Source organism: Homo sapiens, chromosome 4 (assembly GCF_000001405.40).
Source record: "Homo sapiens chromosome 4, GRCh38.p14 Primary Assembly".
NCBI classification, from domain to species: domain Eukaryota; kingdom Metazoa; phylum Chordata; class Mammalia; order Primates; family Hominidae; genus Homo; species Homo sapiens.
Window position 1 is genome coordinate 828644 of NC_000004.12, and position 10728 is coordinate 839371.

A 10728-nucleotide genomic window follows, 5' to 3' on the forward strand; every position below is an offset into this window, starting at 1 on the left:
GAGGGCTTCAGGGTGGTGCCCACTCAGGGTGTGTGAGCCAGGCCAGGGCTGCCCAGCTGGGATGGGAGTCACAGGCTGCTGGCCAGGAGCCACCCAGGCTCCGTTCCAGTGGCAGAAGGTGGTGACGCGGCAAAAGGCCTCTGCCAACCCCCACGGGCCACTTGGCCACACCAGGGCAGGTGCGGTTGGCCCTTCGAGTGCCCAGAGGAGGCCCTGAGCCCTGGAGAAGAAGCCCCGCAGACCTCCAGCCGGCTGGAAAGGGGCAGGAGCTGAGTGAGAAAGGGGCCAGCAGGTTGAAGGCCAGGTTGAAGATCCAGGCAGGGAAAACATTTTGCAGGCCGGGGAAGAGTTGGAGGCCACCCCGTCCAGGCGGATGTTGGGAGAAGGAGGAGGTGGGGTGTGGAGCAAGTCCGGGAGGAGCAGGATGGAGCTCCAACGAGGGCTCCCCCAGAGGTCAGCTTGGAGAAGTGTGAGTGCTTGGCTGGGCCGAGCCCTGGCTGTGGGGCCTGTGCCAGCCGGTTGGACATGGATGGTACCCCCGGCCCAGCCAGCCCTCTGCTCCTCAGATGCTCCATCCCCAGCCCCAGTGAGGCCAGGGACCCCAGGAGCACAAAGCAGGACTGTGTGAGGACCATGTGGCACTGGGTTTGAGACCCTGCGGGGTCACTCCAGACAGCAGGGAAAGGAGGCAGCTGCCCTGCTGCAACCTCCAGCTCTAGCCTCTCTGGAAGCCCCTGCCAAGGCCTCCACTGCCACCCTGCTCCCATCTTCTGGGTCCCATCTGCCCATAGCCCTCCTGGGTGCCAGGCATCCTCCTTGCCTTGGGCCAGGAAAGGGTCTGGGAAGCACTGTCAGGGTTTCCTGGGGTTGGCCTTCAGTCCTGGCGTGGGGTGTGGCCAGGGGGCCATGTCCCCCATGGGCCCAGCAGGAGGGCAGCGCTCTGCCACACCGCATGTGTGGATCCGGCCCACAGCACCCACCCAGAACCTTCAAACACAAACTTAATAGTTACATGTGCTGAGTGATTCAGTCTGAGTGCCGACACCATCCACGCTGTCATTTTCCTGCTGGATTTTGATATTCCAAAAGTAACAACACGTGAAAAGCGTGAGCAAAGCAAGATGTAGACCCTTGCCGTTTGCCAGAGCTGGGGCAGGACCTGGGCTGAGTGGAGGGTGTCCTCGCCTGGGAAGCGCCCTGAACCCGTTCCCCTCCTCCACTGGGTGAGAGAGGTCCAGCATCTAGCCGGGGGAAGCCAGCGCCTGGGAGGTCAGCCTAGTGGGCCCCTGGGAGCAGAGCAGAGGTACTGCCGCAGCTGAGCGAATGCTTGTGCCCCAGGCCCTGCCCTGGGGTCCTGGGATCCACGGCTGCCCGGTCACACGGTGCCCAGATCTCATGGTGCCCCAGGGCACACATGGGGCCCGCTCTGAGCTGATCTCTTGCGGCCCAGCATGGTCCCAACCATGCAGTCAGCAGCACCAGGTAGCCGGGTCAGCGGCACTCACCCCTGGCTGGAGGGAGCCTCTGAGCTGGGCAAGGCCAGGTCCCGGGCAGCCCACCCGCCAGGCCAGGGCCCTCCAGCTTCAGGGGGAGCCACCGGCTCCAGCCCTGCGCTGAGTGTGGGGTGTGGATCTGGCCTCCTTCAGCCGGGGACCCTGATCCACCAGGGACCCAGGGCAACAAAAGAGCCGCCCGTGGGGAGTGGGCTTGGGGTGGACAAACCCAGAGGCTGTGGAGGAAAGGGGCCTTGCTGTGGGCTGCAGCTGCTCGAGGGACTCCGCCCTCCCAGCCTCAACACCTCAGGGCAGGAAGGAGGGGCTTCAGGGGCCTTCCCGGAGGACAGGGTGAGAGACAGCTCGTCTGGGAGAGGCAGGGCTGGCCCAGGGGTGTGGCTGGCTGGGTGGTGAGCACAGTGGGTGGTGCTGGAATTTGGAGATGGGCAAGAGATCCTGGGAGCTGCCAGTCGTGGGGAGGAGAAGTTTCCCGGGAGGATCCTGGGCCAAACACCTGCACTCCTGGGACCCAGAGCCTCAGATGCTCCTTAGGGTCTTGAGTGCCGTGTGATGGAGCCGGAAGGGGTAGGCGGGGGGCAGAGGGCAGGGAGAGCTGGGTTGAAGCCAGGCTCAGAACGCCGAATGCCCCTTCCCTCCCTCCCTCTCCTCCAGTGACACCTGGAGTGAGGCCACATCACATGCATGTGGGTATTTTTGGGAGCATTTCATGCCCAGGAAGTGGGAGGAGGAGCTATTTTGGCTCCCCAGGAGCACGGGACCCCTCCGGCAGCCCTGGTGCTCACTTAGGGAAAGGGCGTGCACGGCTCAGCCGGGCTGTGGCCTTCTCTGTGTCCCCTAGGGCTTGACCTCCTGACTGTCGGACTTTGTGTCCATGGGTGTGGTGGGGGCACAGTGGCGGAAGTGAGTCCCTGGGGCTGTCCCTGGAGGGCAGAGCAGGGGCATCTTAGGGTGGGGTGGGCCTGGGAAGGTGCGGGAGGGCAGCACCGTCTCACAGGGCAGTGGGCGCCAAGGCAGTGCTGCAGGACAGGGCAGTCACCCCAGCAGTGTAGACAGCATAGCGGCGCCCAGCAGAGGGAGGGTGTCCAGTTCCAGGGAAGGTGCCTGGGCAGCTGGAGGCCAGCAGACAGGGGTGTTCACAGCACAGAAGTTGTGCGTTGCAAACCAAGGCTTCCTGGGTCTCAGCTCCCCCTGCTCAGGGGCTCCTGCTGGGCCAGGGACACACGTGTGGAGTGGGCAGCCTGGCCCTGTGTGGCCTCTCTCTGAGCTGCCTCCAGGAAGCTTCAGGAAGCTTCAGAGGCTCCCACGAGGTGATACGGGAGAAGCTGCTGCCTAGGGTATGTGTATCCCACAGCCCCTGGCCCCGTCCACCCACCCTGCTCCTTTGCTTAGGCACTGGCTCAGCCCTCAGTAGCTCAGCCACCCACTAGCACACAAGTGTTTCCAGACACTGCTGGGAGCTGGGCACTTGTCCTGAGGAGGGCAGGTGGGGCTGTGTCCTCACAGGGTCGTGTGCTGGGAGGAGACAGTGGACAGGAGCTCAGGAGATGGCAACAAGAACCCTGCAGGAGCCTGAGACAGAGTAGGGAGAACACGGCCATTGGGGGGTCAAGCCAGCCCTGAATAACTTGATGTCACCCAGGCCCATCACAGGTGAGGGGATCACGGCCGGTGGGGGGTCAAGCCAGCCCTGAATGACCGGATGTCACCCAGGCCCATCACAGGTGAGGTGAGCACAACTGTTGAGGGGTCAAGCCAGCCCTGAATGACTGGATGCCACCCAGGCCCGTCACAGGTGAGGGGAGCACGGCCAGTGGGGGATCAAGCCAGCCCTGAATGACTGGATGTCACCCAGGCCCGTCACAGGTGAGGGGAGCACGGCCGGTGGGGGATCAAGCCAGCCCTGAATGACTGGATGTCACCCAGGCCCGTCACAGGTGAGGGGAGCACGGCCGGTGGGGGATCAAGCCAGCCCTGAATGACTGGATGTCACCCAGGCCCGTCACAGGTGAGGGGAGCACGGCCGGTGGGTGATCAAGCCAGCCCTAAATGATTGGAGGTCACCCAGGCCTGTCACAGGAAACCCAAGGAGTGCCCACAGTGTGGGCTGAGGCCTGGGGCGGGGACAGAAAGGAGCCCTGAGTCCAGCCTGGGGGAGGCTGCTCCAGGCTGTGCACCCCACGGTCCCAGCACACAGTGGCAAAGGGGTACCTGTGACCCCACAGGTGCTGCAGAAACATCTGGAGGGTGTGATTCCCAACCTGTGCTAATGGTGAGGCTGGTGTGGCTCAGAGAGGTGAGCCCTTAGCCCAGCGTCATACCACTGGCCCTAAACCAACAATGTTGGAGCAGAGTCAGCCCCACAAAGGAAACGGGGCATTTACTGAAAAGAGTCAACTTGCGGGCACCCTGGGGCAGCCCAGTCCCAGGCGGTGACTTCCCAGGTGGGGCCAGGAAGGGCACTGGGGCAGAACACACGGGGACCCGGGGGGTGTGGAGAGGGCTTGGGGGCCACCCAGCCAGGACCCCATGGAGGAGGCATTGAGGGAGTTGCCTCAATCTGGGCCACCCGAGCCCCTTGCCAGGCATGGCGAGCCTGGGGACTCAAGTCAGCTGCCCTGGCTGGGCTGAGCCTTTTGGGCCACATCCCTGCCCCCAGAGCTCCAGGCCTCACTCAGGGCTCCTTTCCGTGCCGGCTCCTCAGAAGATGGGAGGGTTGAAGGGCTCCCCTCACCCACAGGTGCCCAGCAAGGACCCCTGGGGGCCGAAGGCTCCAGCCCTCGGGCCCTCTGGGCTGCTTGGGAATTGCAGTTTGGTGCTGACTGTGGACGTGGCTGCGCCCTCTGCCCTGAGCCCGCTTCTCTCTGAGCTGAGTTCTGGAGCCTCTTCCTTCTCAGGATCTTGACACTCAATGCTGGTCCCCGATCCCTGCGGATCTCAGGGTCTCTCTGGGGGCTAGGAAGGGACGAACTCTCCCAGATAGCAAGGTTACAGGTTAAAGTGGGGCCTTTTTCCCAAATTGGCCTATGGGGTGTGACAGAGGCTCTCTGGGCCTGAAGTGTCACTCCCAAGGGAAGGGGTCACGTCCTGGGGCCGGGAGCAAGTGTGAGCCATGAGAGGTGGCGGCAGAGCTAGTTCCACGGGTTCTGCTGTGATGGCAGCTCAGGCTGGGAGACTTATAAGGACCGAGACTGAGGCCCACAGCTCCACAGGCCTGGCAGGATGCGGTCAACGTGTGGGCACGGAGGGAGGCCCCCTTGCTGCGGCCTCATGTGGTGGAAGACAGAGGAAGGAGGAAGGTGGAAGGAGGAAGGGGGAAGAAGGAAGGAGGGAGGGGGAAAGGAGGAAGGAGGGAGGGGGAAAGAGGAAGGGGGAAGAGGGAAGGGAGAATGGGGAAGCGGGGTGGAAGGAGGAAGGAAGAGGGGGAAGGTGGAAGGCAGAAGAGGGATGAGGCTTCAGGTCGGAGCAGAGACCACCCTGGCGGAGGAACCAAGCCTGCCCTCAGCCCCACTGTCTGCCAGCCAGGTATTTTGGGCCAGGAGGGAAGGCTCGGTCACCCCTGGCCGGGTGGCTAATGCTGTCCCCCTGTGCAGCTGGCCACTGTGTTCCAGCCAGGCAGGCTCTGTACACAGAGCCCTGAGATTGGTGTCCCCAAGGTGAGGGAGTCAAACCCATGTGCCTGGACCAGCTGATGTCAGGACAGAGCCCTGCCCAGGAGCTGGATGGGGCCCCCGAGCCGGCCCAGCCAGGCGCTCTGTACCCAGGGCTCCCAAATCCTGCCCAGCATCCTCTCCACTTCCTCCTCTGACATGCTGGGTGACAAGTGGAGTTGTGGGTGCTAAACCAGTGATGTCCTCCGGCTCTCAGCTGGCTGTGTGGCTGGGCCTCTCCCTGTGAGCCGGGTCGGCCCTTCCGCCAGCCCGGGCAGAACGTGGTTTTGAATCTGAGATTGCTGCTTGTTAGAAAAGTCAGGCAAGGGAGGGGACAGGCTGAAAACCTGCTTCTGTGATGCTGTAACAGAGAAAACCACGGACTGGCTCCCTCCTGGGGCGCGGCCGGGTGGCCGTGTGCCCTGGGTGCAGCTGTCAGTTGCATTCTGCTGTGGCCGAGAGCAGATGATGAAGGCTGCAAAGCCTGACCATTCAGATTTTCTGCCGGACGCTGAGGTGGCAAAATAAACCAACACAGAGAGGTGTGGGTCAGGCCCGGGATGTCTGGTTCCCGAAAGCGTCTGCCACTGACCAGGCGGAACACACGGGGCCCCCTCTGCTTGGCCGGGGGCGGCTGCCATGCTGGTCCCGATGGTCAGCCCTGGTTGGCTGAGCCACGCACATTGGACGTGCCAGCACGAGACAGCCCGGGGCAGGAGTGGTCACAGCGTGGGACCTGCCTGGATGCGGCGTGGATGCGGCCCCCCGGGTGAGGCCTGGGTGGGACTCCCCTTGCCACCCCTCCACTCCTTCCCTAGAACAGAGGAAGGTCACGGAAGCGTCCCCTGGGCTTGTGGCTGTGGTGCTGGGATGGCTTTGGGGCTTGTGTCTGGGAGGTCAGAATACCCGGCAGGGGCCAGAGACGGCAGGGCTGAGGAACGCTGTGGGTGAGGGGACAGATGGGACACAGAGAGACCAGGGTCTTGGGTAGAAAGTGCTGGAGCCAAGGCTGAAAGTGCAAAGGGGCCCCTGGGGGCTCTGCAGAGCAAGCGAGAGGCAGGCAGAGCCAGGGGCGGGAAGTCCAGTGGTGGGGTCTGCCGTGCCCTGGACACCGCCCAGGAGAGGCCCCGGGTTGCAGACCAGAGACCCCAGAGTGGCTTCTTGTGGTTCCCTGGAGTGGGGTGGGCTGCCCTCTCCTGAGGTCCCAAGGAGGCAGGCAGGGCCCTGCCGACGCCCCAGCCCTGACCCCTGTGCAGGCCGGGCTGTGGGTCTGGACACCCCCTGGGCTCCAGCAGCCACAGCCACTGTCCAGGGCAGTCCAGCCACACCCCACCCTTCTCTCCCATCGATTCCCACCCAGGACAGCTCTGACCCCGCCCCAACCAGGCACCCACTGCAGCTCGCCTGCGGTAGGACAGTCGGGGTCTGCTGCCACCTGGGGCTTCTGGGGGGACGTGGAGTCCTCAGCCCCCGGCTCGGGTCATCCTGCTGCAGTGGCAGTCGGGCGTGGTCTGTTTCTGAGAAGATGGTGTTTGAGGCAGGAAGCCGAGGGGGACGGAGCAGAGAGGGCTGCCACAGCTGCAGAACCAGCAGATGCCTTGCAGGCACTGAGGGCAGGTGTGGCCGGCACCTAGCGGGTGCAGCTGGGTGCGGAGGGCACAAGGAGAAGGCTCGGAAGTGCCACAGCCGCCTGATTTCTGGCCGCAGTCCAACCAGGCCGGCTGATAAGAGAATTCCAAACCTGCCTGAGAGCTCGGCAGCCCTCCTGCTGTTCACAGGCCGGGTCCCAACAGCAAATGACTCCCCAGCCCCGGCTGTGCCACTGCCAGGAAGTTGCCGAGAGGCCAGAGGTAGACAAGGCAGGGCCGCAGCGTGCCCCGCGGAGCCCTTCAGGCCACGGCCGCACGCGGCATCCTTGGGCTGAGAGTCCCCAGCTCACATCACCGGGGGCCCCTCAGGACATTCAGGGGCCAAGACAGCTTTGGCAGCTCCCACTCCTCTCCCAGTGGCCTCTGGGCTCAGACACCCGGACTGCGTCCTCAGGAGTGGAGCTCCCCGAGGAAAGAGTGCCTTTGCTTCCCTTGACGTGTCCTGCACTTTGTGTCAGCCAGCGCGGCAGCAAGAACGAGCACACGGGGACAGAAGCTCATCTGAACCTGCCGGCCCGTGTCGGTGTCCAGCGCGGAGGCGCTGTGTCCGCAGGGCACCTGCATCCTCATAAGCTGGACTGACTGCCGTGGGGCCCGGTGCCCCATGTCCAGTGCATCCCAGACTAGAACAAAGACTTGCACACGGCGTCCACCACAGCACAAGCCACAGCAGCCACGGGGGAGGCAGCCACGGGGGAGGCCGCCCAGCGCCATCGGCAGAGCACAGACACGCAAACTGTGGTCCCGCCACACGTGGACCTTGATTCCGCTTCAAGAGGAATGAGGCTGTGGCACAGGCCGTGGCGTGGACAAGCCTTGAAGACGGCATGTCAGTGAGAGAAGCCGGACACAAAGGCCTCGAGGTGCACGCTTCTGTTTATAGGGAACGTCCGGACAGGCAAATCCGCAGAGACAGAAATGCGACTGCAGCTGCTGAGGCTGGGGAGCATGCGGGGGACTGGGATGGCGTCTCCTTGAGAGGTGACAGGAACGCTCTGGAGCCAGAGAGCGGCGACGGTGGCTGCATGGCAGCATGAATGCGCTTAACCGCCGCTGAATCGTACACTTCGAAACAGTCCGCTTTATGTTACGTGGATTTCATTTCAACAAACAGCAAACAACCCCTTCAGGGCTTCTACTAGGAAAATAAATTTGAATAGATTTATCAACTACGTTTTGAGCTGCCCCAATGGACATGAATAAAGCTGCATTCTTTAAGCATTAAAAGAAAAAAAAATGGGGGCAGCTCTGGTGGCAGCTGCGAGCCGTGAGGGCCCCAGGTCCCTCCCAGCACACTGCCTGGGGCAGCCCCTTCCTGCACTCAGTCCTGGCCAGGCCGGCGGGGGCTGCTCCGGCCCCTAGCACTGAGAACCACGTGTGTGTCCCAGAAGTGGTGCTGCACTCGGGAAGGACAGGCCTGGCCCCTCGCCGGCAGCGTGGCCTTGGGAGGCTGCGTCACTCTCAGGCCTTGGCTTCGTTCCCCGGCAGAGGGGCCTCCCGGGGCTGGGCCAGCTCCCGACCCGCTTGGGAGGCTGCAGTTTCCCGAGTCCTCTGCCCACACCAGTGTCTCTCGCACAGCCCATCAGCCGCCCACCGCAGCAGGTGGCTGAGCGTCCCTCTGCTCCCAGACCCCTGGCCCCAGCCATCCTCCCTTCCCTCTGCTCCTGGTGCCCACAGGCCTGGCCACCACAGAACTGTGTCTTCCCCTGGGTCCTGGCTGTCCTCGGCCTCCACCGCAGCCAAGGAGGGGACCAGGAAGGCCCAGCCACCTGAAGGGGACAGGCAGAGGGCAGAGGACAGCAATGACTGTGACCCCATGAACCCGCCAGCTCAGGGTGGCATGTGGCCCCTGCAGCCATTGTGTCATGAACAAGCTGTAGTTCAGCCACCAACTATTTTGCCCACATTCCCAGCTCAAGTTACCTACAGACTGATAAGTGCCATTGTCAGGGAGGCATTGTCTGTCCTTGTCAGGGAGGAGAGCATGGGAATAGAGCCATGTGGCCCACTACTCCTGACTCCCCCTCCTCCAGGCACCATTGCACCCTGTGGACCTGGGAATGCAGCCCCCTGCCCACACTGAACCCCAGAAAGGAGTGTCTGGGCTGGGTTCAGAAGTGACCCCCACCCTGAATCTCTCCTCTGTGCCTTTGCCCTGAGCATGCTGCTCCTTCCTTCATCCAAGCCCTTCTCATCCTCCTCCAGGAAGCCCCCCCGACCACCTCCTCCCCACCTGACCTTCTGCTACAGGGATAAGAGAAGGGTGAACCTGGAACCGAGGCAGGATGACTAGGATGGCTGGGTGGGGCCCACTCTGAGGCTGAGAGGACAGTCAGATGGGGGTGGAAACCAATGGGTGGGGACTGTATACTATGAGGTAAGGGCTTTTCCTTTCTTTCTGTGGGTGTCCAATTCCAGTACTCTTTGTTGGAAAAGCTTTTCTTTCCCCCATTGACTTCTTTGGGACTCCTGTCAAAAATCAATGGACCATGGCTATGTAGGTCTATTTCTAGACTCTGTTTTTTCCATTGATCTGTGTATTATCCTTATGCAATAGCACCACATCTTCCCTGCTGTAGCTTTACAGCGGGTCCTGGAAGCAGGTAGTTAAGTACTTCAACTTTGTCCTTTTTCAAAATGCTTTCTGCTTTTCTAGGTTTGCTGCATTTCCATATACATTTTAGAATCAGCTGGTTGGTTTCTATGGAAAGGTCTGATGGAATCTGGGATTGCATTGAATGCATAGATTGGTTTGGGGAGAATTGACTTCTTAATATGAGTCTTCTAATCCATGAACATGGTATGCCCCTTCATTTATTTAGTTCTATTTAAATTTCAACAAAACTGGCCAGGCTTTGTGGCTCAAGCCTGTAATCCCAGCACTTTGGGAGGCCGAGGAGGGGAGATCACCTAAGGCCAGGAGTTCGAGACCAGCCTGGCCAACATGATGAAATCCCGTCTCTACTAAACATACAAAAATTAGCCAGGCATGGTGGCAGGCACCTGTAATCCCAGCTACTCAGGAGGCTGAGGCAGCAGAATTGCTTGAACCTGGGAGGGGGAGGTTGCACTGAGCTGAGATCTCGCCACTGCACTCCAGCCTGGGACAGAGCAAGACTTGGTCTCAAAAAAAAAAAATTTAACAAAATTTGCAGGATTTTTATTTTTATTTTTGCAGCAATAATTTTATGAGTAAATAGGTTTTGCAGATATTCATGAAAATTATCTGAAAGTGTTTCATGGTTGTGATGTTATTGTAAGTGGTATTTTTTATTTCTATTTCCAACTTTTCACTACTATTACATAGGCACAAAAATGATTTTTTCTTTTTTCTTATTGACTTCATTTTAAGATATTTACCTTGTTTTCCACAAAATTGATTTTTGATATTGCCTTTGTATCCTGCAAGCTTGCTATGCTTGCTTAGTAGTTCTAGTTATATATTTTGTAGGTTCCTCAGGATTTTCTAAACAAGCCTAGTCATCGTGTACGTGTCTAAAAACAGTTTTCCTTTTCCTTTCCATTCTCTATGCCTTTCCCCTATTATTGGCTGGGATCAGTCCTCTGGTACAATGCTGAAGAGATGATGAGATAGATATCCTTGCCTTTTTCTCAGGGGAAGCATTCATTCTTTTGCCATTAAGTATGATGGTAGCTGCAGGCTTTTCAGAGGTGCCCTTCCTTGGGTTAAGGAAATTCCCTTCTATCCTTAGTTTGCTATGAGTTTGTTTGTTTGAGATGGAATTTCACTCTTCTTGCCCAGGCTGGAGAGCAATGTTGTGATCTCGGCTCACTGCAACCTCCACCTCCCAGGTTCAAGTGATTCTCCTGCCTCAGCCTCTGGAGTAGCTGGAATTACAGGCGCTCACCATCACACCCGGCTAATTTTTTGTATTTTTAGTAGAGACAGGGTTTCAC

General features: G+C 60.0%; 2 annotated features.

Moving 5' to 3' along the window:
- Window positions 1314-1831: an enhancer, noted in NCBI's record as "H3K4me1 hESC enhancer chr4:823745-824262 (GRCh37/hg19 assembly coordinates)". NCBI's record gives its function as "activates a minimal SCP1, AML or CMV promoter by ChIP-STARR-seq in primed H9 embryonic stem cells {active_cell/tissue: H9 hESC(primed)}" and the evidence as "EXISTENCE:reporter gene assay evidence [ECO:0000049][PMID:30033119]".
- Window positions 1832-2347: an enhancer, noted in NCBI's record as "H3K4me1 hESC enhancer chr4:824263-824778 (GRCh37/hg19 assembly coordinates)". NCBI's record gives its function as "activates a minimal SCP1, AML or CMV promoter by ChIP-STARR-seq in primed H9 embryonic stem cells {active_cell/tissue: H9 hESC(primed)}" and the evidence as "EXISTENCE:reporter gene assay evidence [ECO:0000049][PMID:30033119]".